This window comes from Homo sapiens, chromosome 19 (genome assembly GCF_000001405.40).
Source record: "Homo sapiens chromosome 19, GRCh38.p14 Primary Assembly".
NCBI classification, from domain to species: domain Eukaryota; kingdom Metazoa; phylum Chordata; class Mammalia; order Primates; family Hominidae; genus Homo; species Homo sapiens.
In genome coordinates, this window is record NC_000019.10 from 47,240,875 (window position 1) to 47,255,491 (window position 14,617).

At 51.8% G+C, this 14,617-nt stretch overlaps 1 long non-coding RNA gene across 1 annotated transcript in view, besides 9 other annotated features; it reads right to left on the bottom strand.

Moving 5' to 3' along the window:
* The window catches only part of LOC124904731 (uncharacterized), a 5,521-nt gene extending 2,200 nt beyond the window's left edge, over positions 1-3,321 (bottom strand). Inside the window, exon 1 of the long non-coding RNA XR_007067278.1 lies at positions 3,184-3,321. This is a non-coding gene — a long non-coding RNA (uncharacterized LOC124904731). The remainder of the gene's footprint in view (positions 1-3,183) is intronic.
* Positions 246-1,047: an enhancer, noted in NCBI's record as "H3K4me1 hESC enhancer chr19:47744377-47745178 (GRCh37/hg19 assembly coordinates)". NCBI's record gives its function as "activates a minimal SCP1, AML or CMV promoter by ChIP-STARR-seq in naive H9 embryonic stem cells {active_cell/tissue: H9 hESC(naive)}" and the evidence as "EXISTENCE:reporter gene assay evidence [ECO:0000049][PMID:30033119]".
* Positions 471-590: a silencer, noted in NCBI's record as "silent region_10845". NCBI's record gives its function as "represses an Ori minimal core promoter by ATAC-STARR-seq in GM12878 lymphoblastoid cells {active_cell/tissue: GM12878}" and the evidence as "EXISTENCE:reporter gene assay evidence [ECO:0000049][PMID:35858748]".
* Positions 2,080-2,219: an enhancer, noted in NCBI's record as "active region_14863". NCBI's record gives its function as "activates an Ori minimal core promoter by ATAC-STARR-seq in GM12878 lymphoblastoid cells {active_cell/tissue: GM12878}" and the evidence as "EXISTENCE:reporter gene assay evidence [ECO:0000049][PMID:35858748]".
* Positions 2,290-2,419: an enhancer, noted in NCBI's record as "active region_14864". NCBI's record gives its function as "activates an Ori minimal core promoter by ATAC-STARR-seq in GM12878 lymphoblastoid cells {active_cell/tissue: GM12878}" and the evidence as "EXISTENCE:reporter gene assay evidence [ECO:0000049][PMID:35858748]".
* Positions 2,518-3,511: an enhancer, noted in NCBI's record as "H3K27ac-H3K4me1 hESC enhancer chr19:47746649-47747642 (GRCh37/hg19 assembly coordinates)". NCBI's record gives its function as "activates a minimal SCP1, AML or CMV promoter by ChIP-STARR-seq in primed H9 embryonic stem cells {active_cell/tissue: H9 hESC(primed)}" and the evidence as "EXISTENCE:reporter gene assay evidence [ECO:0000049][PMID:30033119]".
* Positions 2,518-4,211: a biological region, named in NCBI's record as "CRISPRi-validated cis-regulatory element chr19.5064". NCBI's record gives its function as "regulatory_interactions: BBC3".
* Positions 3,080-3,731: a transcriptional cis regulatory region, noted in NCBI's record as "candidate enhancer chr19.5064 targeted for multiplex CRISPR interference". NCBI's record gives its function as "positively regulates BBC3 gene expression with high confidence in K562 cells {active_cell/tissue: K562}" and the evidence as "EXISTENCE:mutant phenotype evidence [ECO:0000015][PMID:30612741]".
* Positions 3,316-3,365: a silencer, noted in NCBI's record as "silent region_10846". NCBI's record gives its function as "represses an Ori minimal core promoter by ATAC-STARR-seq in GM12878 lymphoblastoid cells {active_cell/tissue: GM12878}" and the evidence as "EXISTENCE:reporter gene assay evidence [ECO:0000049][PMID:35858748]".
* Positions 3,711-4,211: an enhancer, noted in NCBI's record as "H3K27ac hESC enhancer chr19:47747842-47748342 (GRCh37/hg19 assembly coordinates)". NCBI's record gives its function as "activates a minimal SCP1, AML or CMV promoter by ChIP-STARR-seq in primed H9 embryonic stem cells {active_cell/tissue: H9 hESC(primed)}" and the evidence as "EXISTENCE:reporter gene assay evidence [ECO:0000049][PMID:30033119]".

Consider the following 14,617-nt stretch of genomic DNA (forward strand, 5'->3'; position numbering starts at 1 on the left):
CACAGTGATGTGGCTGGGGAGGAGGGAGTAGTGGAGAGGTTGGGGGGCCCTCCCCAGTCCCAGACCCCCAGGTCTGGAAGATCCAGCCCTGCAGCACCTTTACTTGGCCCCGTGGATCCAGACTGGGAGCCCCCAGCCTCGAGAGACCGTAACGTGCATGGCTGGGCCACTTCAGAGAGGCCCAATTCCTCAGTCCCCTCCCTCCCGGGAGACCCAAGGCAGAGCCGCCTGCAGCTCCAGACCCCAGCTCCAGACTTGGTGAGCCCAGGTGCGGCCCGCCCCTACCCTGGTACCTGGCGGGGCGGAGTTGAGGATTACTCAGCCTCCAGAATGAGGCGATGACATCATCCTGGGGGGGGTTGACTAATGGCCGCGCTGGGGGGGGCGGGGAAGTTTACCCGGTAACAGCGGCTGCCGCACGGCCCCGCCCCCGGGGAAGGGCTGGGAGGGGGAGGCACAGCCTGCGCTGGCGCACACACAAACACACACACACACACACACACACACACACACAGCGCATCCCTCCCCCACCGTCCCACATCTAACACAGCTTCCTGGGGCAAGGGCAGGGGTGCGGGGGTTGGGTGTTTGTGTGACTATGTGTGTGTGTGCTGGAGTCCTCTGTGGATTTGTGTCAGTGTGCTGTTGTGTCAGGGGGTTCACACATTACGGTGGGGTTGTGTCAGTGTGTGCTACTGTGTGTCACTTGATGGATTGTGTGTCAGTGTGATGGTGTGTGTCAGCATGCTACATTTGTCACAATGCTACATGTCATGGGCTGCTGTGACAATGTGATTGTGTGTCAGTGTACAATTGTGTGATGTTCTGGTGTGCTGTGTGTGATCATGATGGTGTGATGTGTGTGGTTCTGTGCAGCATGCTGGTCTGGCAGTGAGATGTGTGTGCCCATGTGATTGTGTCCTGACGCTGGGATCGTATATGTGTCAGAGTGATGTTGTGTTGGGGGAAGATCTGTGAAGGTGCTATGTCACTGTACTGTTCTGTTGTCATGGTTGGATGTGTTTGTGTAATGCTGGGTGTCACTGGGGTTGTGTGTGTATGTCATGGTGATGGTGTGTACGTGTATACAATGCTGTGTGTATATGGGATTGTGTGTGTCACTGAGTGTGTCAGTGGTACTTGTGTTGTGGGTGTTGGGACTGTGTATGTATCACTGTGATAGTGTATGCCCATGTGCTGTGCTGGGTGTCGGGGGAAGATGTGCATACATACTACTGTTATTGTGTGTGCCTGGACAATGCGGTGCACGGTGGGATTGTGTGTGTGTGTGTGACATTATGACTGTGTCTGAAATGCATATCTGTGGGACTGTGTATCACCGACAGTATGTGCATGTGCAATGCTGTGTGTTACTGTGGTTGTGTGTCATTGTGGTTGTGTTTGTCAGGGTGATGTTGTGTGTCCATGGAACTGTGTGTCTAATAGATTGCGTGTATGCAATATTGTCTCTCACTGTGCTTGAATGTGTCACTGTTGCGATTGTATCACTGTGATCTAGTGAGTGTGTTGGGACCAATTGGTTGTGGGATGAGTGTCACTGTATTGATTGTATGTCACTGATACTGTGTGTGTCAGGGTGATGTTGTGTGTTCAAGGGACTGTGCATACCTCATGGAGATTGCATGTGCCTGGGCAGCACTGTGTGTGCCTGTGGTTGTGGGTCTGGGGAGTGCTATGTGTCCTGGGACTGTCTGTGTCACTAAGTTGTTTTTTTGTTTTGTTTTGTTTTGTTTTTTGAGACGGAGTTTTGCTCTTGTTGTCCAGGCTGGAGTGCAGTGGCAGCGACCTTGGCTCATTGCAACCTCCACCTCCTGGGCTCAAGCGATTCTCCTGCCTCAGCCTCCCAAGTAGCTGGGACTACAGGTGCATGCCACCACACTAGAGACGGAGCTTCACCACATTGGTTAGGCTGGTCCCAAACTCCCGACCTCAAGTGATCTACCCGCCTCGACCTCCCAAAATGCTGGGATTACAGGCCTGAGCCACCGTGCCAGGCCTGAGCCACCGTGCCCGGCTGTCACTGATATTTTGTGTGTCTCTGTGATGCTGTGTGTCTGCGTGTTCCTGGGACCTGTGTGTCTGTCGCTGTGTGTGTCATTGTGATTGTGTATGTGCGGTGGGCGACGCTGCTTGTCTCTGGGACGGTGTGTGTGTGTGTGTGCGCGCCGCTGTGATTGTATGTCAGCGCGCTTCGCTGGGTGTCGGGGGAAGGTGCGCGTGTCTCCAGGCCTCCTGCCCGAGAACAGCGGCGCTGCTCTCTGATTGGCCGCGGCCGCGCCAGTGAGAAGCTCCCGAATCCTGCGGTAACTTGGTAACTTGGAGACTCGGCCCGCGCCGCAGCCGCGGGGCTCCGGGCTGGGGGCTGGGAGGGCGGGGAGGGGGAGGGGCCCGCCCCGCCCCTCCGGGGCCCGCCCCGCCCCTCCCCGCCCCGATTTCGCAGGCCCGCCCCGAGCGCCCCTCCCCGGCCCCCTCGCCCCGTCTCCCTCACCTCCAGCTCGGCACCTCTGACCCCCTACTTTGACTCCATCTCCCACACCCTTGCGTCGCTCCTGACTCCCCTATCTCTGCCACTCGCTGGGTCTCTCTGTCTCTCTCTTTCCCATGTTTATCTCTCCTGTCTCTGTCTCCCTGTAGATCTCTCTGCCTTTGTCTCTGTCTCTCATATCCCCTCTCTGTTTCTTCCATCTGTCTCTCCCATCAGTCTCCACCACTGCTGTCTCTCCCCGTCTCTGTCTCCGCCACCTCTGTCTCTCCTAGTCTCTCTCCGCTACCTCTGTCTCTGCCATCTGTCTCTATCATCTCTGTCTCTCCCTGTCTCTGTCTCCATCATCTCTGTCTCTCCCAGTCTCTGTCTCCATCATCTCTGTCTCTCCCTGTCTCTGTCTCCATCATCTCTGTCTCTCCCAGTCTCTGTCTCCATCATCTCTGTCTCTCCCAGTCTCTGTCTCCATCATCTCTGTCTCTCCGTGTCTCTGTCTCCCCCATCTCTGTCTCTGTCGCTCCATCTGACTCTCTCAGCTGTCCCTCCTGGATTCTGTCTCTCTCTCTCTCCCTCCTCTGCCTCAGTCTCCCCACCTTTGTCTCTTCTTCCTGTCGTCTCTCCCACCTCTTGTCTCTGTCTCTCCCGCCCCCCTCTCCCTTCCCCGATGCCCTCTCTCTTACTCCCACAGCCAGGCTCAGAATTCACTTTTCATCCTTCTAAGACAGCCAGCGGACGGTTCGCTACTTCGTCCTCGCCCCTCCCCTCCGGCCCAGGCTTCTGGCAGCAGGCCCCACGCAGGGCAGACTTCAGGAAGGACTTCCCGCCCTGGTTCGGCACGAGAGCTTTATCGCTCGGGCCAGGCGGAGGCCGGGCGGCCCCGTGGCTTCCGGAGGCGCCCGGGCGGGATGAGCTCACTGCGAGTTGGCCAGGATTTCATCAGCTTCCTCCTGCGGACTTGCCCCCGCTCCTTTCCCGGCCCGGCCGCGCGGGCGAATCCGCCGGACGCCTGCTGCCCCCGAGCGGCAGAAGGCGGAAGCACAGGCGCCGCGCAAAAAGCCCACCTTTGCACCAGACGATGTCGCCAGCTCAGGAAGCCTGCAAATACAAACCCAATTCATCCTCACAACCACCAGGGGAGATGGACTATACATATATATATTTTGAGGCGGAGTCTCGCTCTGTCGCCCAGGCTGGAGTGCAGTGGCGCGATCTCGGCTCACTGCAACCTCTGCCTCCCGGGTTCAAGCGATTCTCCTTGCCTCAGCCTCCTGAGTAGCTGGAACTACAAGCGCCTGCCACCATGCCCGGCTAATTTTTGTATTTTTAGTAGAAACAGGGTTTCACCATGTTGGCCAGGATGGTGTCGATCTCTTGACCTCGTGATCCACCCGCCTCGGCCTCTCAAAGTGCTGGGATTACAGGCGTGAGCCACCACGCCTGGCCCCATTTATTCTTATATCCACTCATTCAGCAATTACCACAGAGTCTCCCCTGTGCCAGGCACTGGTGCAGTTGTAGGCATGAGGATACAGCTGTGAGCAAAATGGATACAAATCCTGCCTTCATGGGACTGACACTCTGGTCTGTGGCAGACCACACACCAGGAGAACACAGTAACAATACAAAGCGAAACTTCAAGTAGAAAAAGGAAGCAGGGAAGGGCCGTCAGGAGTGTTGAGGGATGGTGTCTTTGAAAAAGTGCTATTTGCCGCCGGGCGCGGTGGCTCACATCTGTAATTCCAGCACTTTGGGAGGCCGATGCAGAAGGATCATTTGAGGACAGGAGTTCGAGGCCAGCCTGGCCAACATGGCGAAACCCCATCTCTACCAAAAATACAAAAATTAGCTGGGTGTGGTGGTGCGTGCCTGTAATCCCAGCTACTTGGGAGGCTGAGGCAGGAGAATCACTTGAACCTGGAAGTGGGAGGTTGCAGTGAGCCGAGATCACATCATTGCACTCCAGTCTGGGTGACAGAGCGAGAGTCTGTCAAGAAAGCAAGCAAGCAAGAAAGCAAGAAAGCAAGGAAGGAAGGAAGGAAGGAGAGAGAAGAAAGAAAGAGAGAGCGAGCAGATGGGATTGGCTGAGGTACTGGATGTGGATGTGAAGGACAGAGAGGCGTTTAGGGGGCAGCCGGAAGGATGAAGGTTCTGAGAGACCAATTGTCATCATCATCATCATGGCAGCTCTCTGAGTTCACCTACTGTGTGCTAGGCTCCGTGCCGATTCAGAGCTTTACATACATGACCTGGTTACATCCTTATGACCATCCATAGATCCAGGAAGCAGAGACGGGAGCTGTGGTAGGATTCAAGATTTTTATACACATATATATATATATATATATATATATATAGGTTTGTTTGTTTGTTTGAGATGGAGTCTTGCTCTGTTGCCCAGGCTGGAGTGCAGCGGCACGATCTCAGCTCACTGCAACCTCTGCCTCCTGGGTTCAAGCGATTCTCCTGCCTCAGCCTCCTGAGTAGCTGGGATTACAGGCACGTGCCACCATGCCCGGCTAATATTTGTATTTTTAGTAGAGACGGGGTTTCACCATGTTGGACAGGGTTTCACCATGTTGGTCAGGCTGGTCTCAAACTCCTGACCTCATAATCCACCCACCTCGGCCTCCCAAAGTGCTGGGATTACAGGCATGAGCCACCGCGCCTGGCCCCCTTTTTTTTTTTTGAGATGGAGTCTTGTTGCTGTGTTGCCCAGGGTGGAGTGCAGTGGCATGATCTCTGCTCACTGCAAGCTCCACCTCTTGGGTTCACGTCGTTCTCCTGCCTCAATCTCCTGAGTAGCTGGGACTACAGGCGCACGCCGCCAGGCCTGGCTAATTTTTTGTATTTTTAGTGGAGACGGGTTTCACTGAGTTAGCCAGGATGGTCTCCATCTCCTGACCTCGTGATCTACCCGCCTCGGCCTCCCAAAGTGCTGGGATTACAGGTATGAGCCACTGTGTCCAGCCTTTTTCTTTTTTTTTAGACAGGGTCTCACTCTGTCACTCAGGCTGGAGTGCAGAGGTGTGAACATGGCTCACTGCAGCCTCAACCTTCCAGGCCTAAGCAATCCTCCCACCTCAGCCTCCCTCCTGAATAGCTGGGACTACCTTCTTGTGCCACCATGGCCAGCTAATTTTATATTATTTTGTAGAGATGAGGTCTCCCCATGGTGCCCAGGCTGGTCTATAACTCCTGGGCTCAGGTGATCCTTCTGCCTCCGCCCCCCCAAAGTGCTGGGATTATAGGCATGAGCCACTATACATGGCCTTATTTTTTTTAAGACAGTGTCTTGCTCTGTTGCCCAAGCGGAGCAGTGGTGTGATCACAGCTCACTGTAATCTCAACCTCCTGGGCTCAAGTGAGCCTCCCACCTCAGCCTCCTGAGTAGCTGGGACCACAGGTGTGTGCCACCATGCCCTGCTAATTTTTTCTTTTTAATTTCTTTTATATTTTATTCTATTTATTTTTGAGACAGAGTCTTGCTCTGTCGCCCAGGCTGGAGTGCAGTGGCACAATCTCAGCTCACTGCGACCTCTGCCTCTTAGGTTCAAGTGACTCTCGTGTCTCAGTCTCCTGAGTAGCTGGGATTACAGGCCCGCACCACCATGCCCGGCTAATTTTTGTATTTTTAGTAGAGACAGTGTCTCACCATGTCACTCAGGCTGGCCTCGAACCACTCCAGGCCTTTTTAAATTTTATATTTTATTTTGTATTTTATTTATTTTATTTTTAGAGAGAGGGTCTTACTATGTTGCCCAGATGCCCAACTCCTGGGCTTAAATGATCCTCCTTCCTCAGCCTCCCAAGTACCTGGGACCACAGGTGCACACCACCACGCCTGGCTAATTTTAAATTTTTTTGTAGAGATGGGGGGGGGGAGGTCTCATTATGTTACCCAGGCTGGTCTCGAATTCCTGGCCTCAAGCGATCCTCTGGCCTTAGCCTCCCGAAGTGCTGGGACTACAGGCCTGAACCACCGCGCCTGGCCTCTACCTATTCCTTTGTTTAGCTGTTTGTTGTCTGTCTTCTGGAGAAAGTGAGCTCCATGGCGGCAGGGACATTCTAATTCCCATTTCACAGATCGGGAAACTAGAAGGAGGCCCGGCACAAAGTAGGTTCTCATGGGTTCAGGTTTGTTGAATGAATATGCGTGTCTGTTTGTCTCAAGCGGCAGGGAGTGCGCCGCACCGCCCCCTGGTGGAGAGTGGGAAACGTGTCCGCCGGCGTGATTATCAAATTTCCTGGGAGATCTTCAAGTCCGCCCTTAGCCACTGCGTACTAACGGTAGAATTTAACTCCATTCCACAAATAAACACAAAGTATTTTTTATGATTATTTTTGAACTTGTAAAATTTGTTTTTTGATTTCTTGAGACCATTGTTTAAGCTGTAGCATAAGTTACACACTTCTCTAAAGCCTCCCAATTCTTTTTTTTTTTAGGAACAAGGTCTCCCTCGCCGCTCAGGCTGGAATGCAGTGGCACGATCAGAGCTCATTGCAGCCTTGAAGTCCTGAAGCTCCAGACTCTTTTTTTTGTTTTTTGAAACGCAGTCTCGCTTTGTCGCCCAGGCTGGAGTACAGTGGTGTGATCTCGGCTCACTGCAACCTCTGCCTCCCAAGTTCAAGCAATTCTCTAATTCTCTGCCTCAGCCTCCTGAGTAGCTGGGATGACAGGCGCCCGCCACCATGCCCGGCTAATTTTTTTGTATTTTTACTACAGACGGGTTTCACCATCTTGGCCAGGGTGGTCTTGAAATCCTGACCTCGTGATCCACCTGCTTTGGCCTCTCAACGTGCTGCGATTACAGGCATAAGCCACCGCACCTGGCCCTCTTTTTTTTTTTTTTTGAGACAGAGTCTGGCTCTGTCCCCCAGGCTGGAGTGTGATCTCGGCTCCCTGCAACTCTGCCTCCCTGTTCCAGTGATTCTCTTGCCTCAGCCCCCGGAGTAGCTGGGATTACAGGCGCACGCCACCACGCCCGGCTAATTTTTGTATTTTTAGTAGAGACAGGGTTTCATCATGTTGGCCAGGCTGGTCTAGAACTCCTGACTTCAGGCGACCCACACCCGCCTCGGCCTCCCAAAGTGCTGGGATTACAGGTGTGAGCCACCACACCTGGCCTTTTTTTTTTTTTTAAAGAGTCTCGTTGTGTCGCCCAGTCTGGAGTGCAGTGGTGTGATCTCGGCTCACTGCAACCTCCAACTCCTGGGTTCAAGCGATTCTTCTGCCTCAGCCTCCCACATAGCTGGGACTACAGGCGTTCGCCACCACGCCCGGCTAATTTTTTTTTTTTTGTATTTTTACTAGAGATGGGGTTCCACTGTGTTAGCCAGGATGGTCTCGATCTCCTGACCTCATGATCCGCCCGCCTCAACCTCCCAAAGTTCTGGGATTACAGGCGTGAGCCACCGCGCCCAGCCTTTTTTTTTTTTTTTTTTTTAATGTATTTGCTTGTCGTTAATGGGATAGTAATAAGGTTGAGGTTTTTGTTAAGGGGAGTTTACTTATCATTAAACTCTGTAGTTACTACTACAAGGAAACTCTTCCCAAGTACATTAAACACTAGGTTTTATAATATTTGCCACACTGCCAATAAATTCTGTTCACATATTAAGTATGACAAGTCCACTATATGTAACATGTAAGAATGCTATACTAGGCCGGGCACAGTGGCTCACACCTGTAATCCCAGCACTTTGGGAGGCTGAGGCGGGCAGATCACGAGGTCAGGAGATCGAGACCATCCTGGCTAACACGTTGAAACCCCGTCTCTGCTAAAAATACAAAAAATTAGCCGGGTGTGGCGGCGTGCGCCTGTAGTCCCAGCTGCTGGGGAAGCTGAGGTAGGAGAACGGCGTGAACCCGGGAGGCAGAGCTTGCAGTGAGCCGAGATCGCGCCACTGCACTCCAGCCTGGGTGACAGAGCGAGACTCTGTCTCAAAAAAAAAAAAAAAAAAAAAAGAATGCTATACTGGCAGTAGACCTAGGGCCAGAATAAATTGGCAAGTTTTCATTCCATATAAATGTGGGAAAAAAGTGAGTACAACTTTTTTTTTTTTTTTTTTTTGAGACAGAGTTTCACTCTTGTTGCCCAGGCTGGAGTGCAATGGTACGATCTCGGCTCACCGCAACCTCTGCCTCCCGGGTTCAAGCAATTCTCCTGCCTCAGCCTCCCGAGTAGCTGGGATTACAGGCATGTGCCACCACACCCAGCTAATTTTTGTATTTTTAGTAGAGACAGCGTTTCACCATGTTGGTCAGGCTGGTCTCGAACTCCTGACCTCGTGATCTGCCCGCCTCGGCCTCCCAAAGTGCTGGGATTACAGGCATGAGCCACCATGCCCAGCCTTTTTTTTTTTTTTTTTTTTTTGTGAGAGGAAGTCTTGCTCTGTTGCCCAGGCTGGAGTGCAGTGGCACGATTTTGGCTCACTGCAACCTCTGCCTCCTGGGTTCAAGCAATTCTCCTGCCTCAGCCTCCTGGGTAGCTGGGACTACAGGTGTCCACCACTACACCCGGCTAATTTGTTTGTATTTGTAGTAGAGACGGGGTTTTACCATGTTGGCGAGGCTGGTCTTGAACTCCTGACCTCATGTGGTCTGCCCACCTTGGCCTCCCAAAGTGTTGGGATTACAGGCGTAAGCCACCGTGCCCGGCCACATGAAATGTTTAATGTGGTTGATCTCAGCTTCATTCACACTGACTTCAGGGAGTCTGGTTTTCTATGCTCAAGATTGTTCTATTGCTGATTTGCCGTTGTTTTGTTTTCTTTCAGGATCAAGGTGGGTACTTTTTTTTTTCTTTGAGATGGAGTCTCGCTTTGTCGCCCAGGCTGGAGTGCGGTGGCGCCATCTCGGCTCACTGCAAGCTCCACCTCCTGGGTTCACACCATTCTCCTGCCTCAGCCTCCCGAGTAGCTGGGACCACAGGCGCATGCCACCACGCCCGGCTAATTTTTTGTATTTTTTTTAGTAGAGATGGGGTTTCACCATGTTAACCAGGATGGTTTCGATCTCCTGACCTCGTGATCCATCCAGCTCCGCCTCCCAAAGTACTGGGATTACAGGCCTGAGCCACCGCGCCCAGCTTTTTTTTTTTTTTTTTTTTAATAGAGATGGGGATGGGAGGGGTCTCACTACTATGCCCAGGCTGGTGACAAACTTCTGGGCTCAAGTGATCTACCCTCCTTGGCCTCCCAAAGTGCTGGGATTACAGGAGTCAGCCACCGCACCTGGCCCCTCCCAAACTCTTAAGTGCAGAACTCCATGTAACCAGCACCTAGGTGGAGAAACAGAACGTTCTTAGCCCCATTTCCTGACCCTGATTACCCTAATTACCCTCAGGGTAATCATTATCGTGAATTCTAACACCAGAGATTAGTTTTGCTTGTTTTAGAATTTCATATAAATGGACCATGAAATATGTTCTCTTTGGTGTCTGTATGCCTTTGTTATGCAGCCTAATGTTTGCAAGATTCATGCATGTTCTTGTTTACTTTTCCTTTTTTTTCCTTTCTTTCTTTCTTCCCCCGCCTCCCCCGCCTCCCCACAGAGCCTGGCTCTGTTGCCCAGGCTTGAGACTCAGCCTCCCAAGTAGCTGGGATTACAGGCCCAGTGCCACCACGCCCGGCTAATTTTTGTATTTTTAGTAGAGACGGGGTTTCACCATGTTGGCCAGGCTGGTCTCGATCTCCCTATCTCAGGTGATCCACCTGCCTCGGCCGCCCAAAGTGCTGGGATTACAGGTGCGAGCCACTGTGCCCAGCCTTGACTTCCTTCCTTCCTTCCTTTCGAGACAGGGGTCTCACTTTGTTGTCGCTCAGTCTGGCGTTGAACTCCTGGCCTCTAGTGATCCTCCCACCTTGGCCTCCCCAGTGCTGGTGCACCACTGCACCCTGCTGATTGATCACTTTCAGTGTTGCAGAGTCTTTCACTGTGTAAAGACAGGATCATAACTCACTGCAATCTCGACCTCCTGGGCTCAAGCAATCCTTCTGCCTCAGCCTCCTGAGTAGCTAGGACCATGTGCCACCATGCCTGGCTAATTTTATTTTATTTTATTATTATTACTTTTTAAAATATGCTGACTTTAGTTATTTACTTTTTTTTTTTTTTAAGATGGAGTCTCACTCTGCCGCCAGGCTGGAGTGCAGTGGTGTGATCTCGGCTCACTGCAACCTCTGCCTCCCAGGTTCAAGCGATTCTCCTGCCTCAGCCTCCTGAGTAAGCTGGGATCACAGGCGTGCACCACCACGCCCGGCTAATTTTTTTTTGTTTTTTGTTTTTTGTTTTTGAGACAGTCTCACTCTGTCGTCGAGGCTGGAGTGCAGTAGCACTGTGTTGGCTCACTGCAACCTCCGTCTCCTGGGTTCAAGCAATTCTCCTGCCTCAGCCTCCCAAGCAGCTGGGACTACAGGCGTCCACCATGACGCCCGGATAGATTTTTCTTTTTTTTTTTTTTCTTGAGACGGAGTCTGGCTCTGTTGCCCAGGCTGGAGTGCAGTGGCGTGATTTCAGCTCACTGCAAGCTCCACCTCCTGGGTTCACGCCATTTTCCTGCCTCAGCCTCCCTGGTAGCTGGGACTACAGGTGCCCGCCACCATGCCCGGCTAATTTTTTTTACATTTTTAGCAGAGATGGGGTTTCACCATGTTGGCCAGGCTGGTCATGAACTCCTGACCTCAGGTGATCCACCCACCTCAGCCTCCCAAAGTGCCGTGATTACAGGTGTGAGCCACCGTGCCTGGCCACGCCTGGCTAATTTTGTGTGTGTGTGTGTGTACTTATTTTTTTGAGACAGTGTGTCGCTCTGTCACCCAGGCTAAAGTGCAGTGGCGGGATCTCAGCTCACTGCAACCTCTGCCTCCCAAATTCAAGCAATTCTTCTGCCTCAGCCTCCTGAGTAGCTGGGACTACAGGCGTGCACTGACACTCTTGGATAATTTTTTTTTTTTTGAGGTGGAGTCTTGCTCTGTCCCTCAGGCTGGATTGCAATGACGCGATCTCGGCTCACTGAAGCCTCCGCCTCCCGGGTTTAAACGACTCTCCTGCTTCAGCCTCCCAAGTAGCTGGGATTACAGGTGCACACCACCACACCTGGCTAATTTCTTTTTGCATGTGTGTAGTTTTAGTAGAGACGGGATTTCACCATGTTGGCCAGGCTGGTCTCGAACTCCTGACCTCAGATGATCCTCCTGCCTTGGCCTCCCAAAGTCCTGGGATTACAGACATGAGCCACCACGCCCAGCCGAGGCTGAGTCTTTATCTTGGGGACTGGCCTGGGCATTGGAAGGTGTTCAGGAGCAGCCCTGGCCTCTGTCCACTAGATGTCAAGAGGACCCTCTCTTGTGACAACCAGAAATGTCCCTAGTCATTGAGAAATGTCCTTTAGGGGGCAAAATTACCTCCATTGAGAACCACTGGATAAGAACACGGAGTTTGAGGATGCACAAAAGGGAGTGATGTGGCTGGAGAGGGCAGCAGCGGTGACACACACACCACTCAGGCTCCATCAAGTCAGCTCTCCCCAGGGTGCTCTGGGCAGCCTCTTTCTGTCAGAACAGTTGCCATAGTTTGAATGTGTCCGTCGAAGTTCATGTGTTGAAAACAGTCGGCAGGGCGCGGTAGCTCACGCCTGTAATCCCAGCACTTTGGAAGGCCGAGGCAGGTGGATCACGAGGTCAGGAGTTCAAGACCAGCCTGGTCAAAACGGTGAAACCCTGTCTCTACTAAAAATACAAAAAAAAGTAGCCAGACATGGTGGCAGATGCCTGTAATCCCAGCTACTCAGGAGGCTGAGGCAGCGAATTGCTTCAACCTGGGAGGCGGAGGTTGCAGTGAGGCGAGATTGCGCCATCGCACTCCAGCCTGGGCAAAAAGAGCAAAACCTGTCTTAGAAAAACAAACAAACAAACAAAATATATATATATATTTATACAAACACATACACACACATATATGGAGAGAGAGAGAGGTGGGGGTCCCACTATGTTGGCCAGGCTGACCTTGAGTGAGCTCCTGGCCTTAAATGATCCTCCCACCTCTGCCTCCCAAAGTGTTGGAATTACAGGCATGAGCCACTGTATTTGGCCTAATTTTTAATTTTTTTTGTGGAGACTAGGTCTCACTCTATTGCCCAGACTGGTTTCAAATTCCCGAGCTGAAGTGATCTGCCCACCTTGGCCTCCCAAAGTTCTGGGATTACAGGCATGAGTCACCGCACTGGCCTCAAGTGAATTTCGTTACATGCATAGATTGCTATTTGGACAATTATAAGAGGATTAAGTTTCATTGGTATCTCTGAAAGGCTGTGAACAGTAGCCTTAGAAATGGTAAGGAATTACCAGGTACTTCCACTTTCTATGTCTTAAATCACAAAATAAAATGACTGGCACTACAGGCAATCTGGTCTGTCCACTTATAACTGTCATTCACCTTAACTGAGGGTATTCTGTAGCATTCATCATCATTTGTCACAATACCTTTATTATTTATTTATTTATTCTGAGACAGAGTTTCACTCTTGTTGCCCAGGCTGGAGTGCAGTGGCTCAATCTTGGCTCACTGCAACCTCCATTTCCCAGGTTCAAGTGATTCTCCTGCCTCAGCCTCCCCAGTAGCAGGGGTTACAGGCGTGAGCCACAGCGCCTGGTCGGCTTGTCACACTAGCTTTATTATGTCTAAGTTTTGGTTAATGCTGTAACCTCCTGGACTCTGCAGCTATTCAGCTGCTGTTGCTTTGAGTATCTTCTAGTTTTGGGAATGCACCAAGCTCATTCACCACAGGGCCTTTGCATAGGTTGTGTCCTTGGCCTGCACAGGCAGCCTCTCACCCTCCGGCCTCTCCTGCCCCTCTTGCCAGGCATCTCCCACAGGTGCTGCTATTTCCCATTTACTTGTGTCTTCCCTTAGGAGGACAAGGATGGGGTCAGCTTTGTTCATCATCTCAGTTCCCCCACCAACTTTTCCTCCCAGCACGCAGCCTGGCAGTCAATGCTGATTTGGGAGAATGAACGACTGATTCTATCGGTTGAACGTTTATTTTATATATATATATATATATATATATATATATATATATATATATATATACTTTTTTTTTTTTTTTTTTTTTGAGACGGAGTCTCGCTCTGTCGCCCAGGCTGGAGTGCAGTGGCGTGATCTCGGCTCACTGCAAGCTCCGCCTCCCGGGTTCACGCCATTCTCCTGCCTCAGCCTCCCAAGTAGCTGGGACTACAGGCGCCCGCCACTACGCCCGGCTAATTTTTTGTATTTTTAGTAGAGACGGGGTTTCACCGTTTTAGCCGGGATGGTCTCGATCTCCTGACCTCGTGATCCGCCCGCCTCGGCCTCCCAAAGTGCTGGGATTACAGGCGTGAGCCACCGCGCCCGGCCTTATTTTATATTTTATGATTTCATTTACTTATTTATTTTCGATACGGAGTCTCACTTTGTCGCCCAGGCTGGAGTGCAGTGGCACGATCTTGCCTCACTGCAACCTCTGCCTCCCGGGTTCAAGCAATTCTCTATCTCAGCCTCCCAAGTAGCTGGGATTACAGGCATCTGCCACCATGCTTGGCTAAATTTTGTATTTTTAGTAAAGACGGGGTTTCACCATGTTAGCCAGGCTGGTCTCGAACTCCTGACCTTGTGATCCACCTGCCTCGGCCTCCCAAAGTGCTGGGATTACAGGCATGAGCCACTGCGCCTGGCCAGTTATTTATTTTTTTGAGACGTAGTCTTGCTCTGTCGCCCAGGCTGGAGTGCAATGGCACGATCTCAGCTCACTGCAACCTCTGCCTCCCGGGTTTAAGCGATTCTCCTGCTTCAGCCTGTAGCTGGGATTACAGGTGTTACAGGTGCCCGCCACCATGCCTGGCTAATTTTTGTATTTTTTAGTAGAGACAGGGTTTCACCACGTTGGTCAGGCTGGTCTCAAACTCCTGACCTCGGGTGATCCACCCGCCTCGGACTCCCAAAGTGCTGGGATTACAGGCGTGAGCCACGGCGCCCGGCCTATTTTATTTTGAGACGGAGTCTCTCGTTCTGTCGCCCAGGCTGCAGTGCAGTGGTGCAATCTCGGCTTACTGCAACCTCTGCCTCCCGGGTTCAAG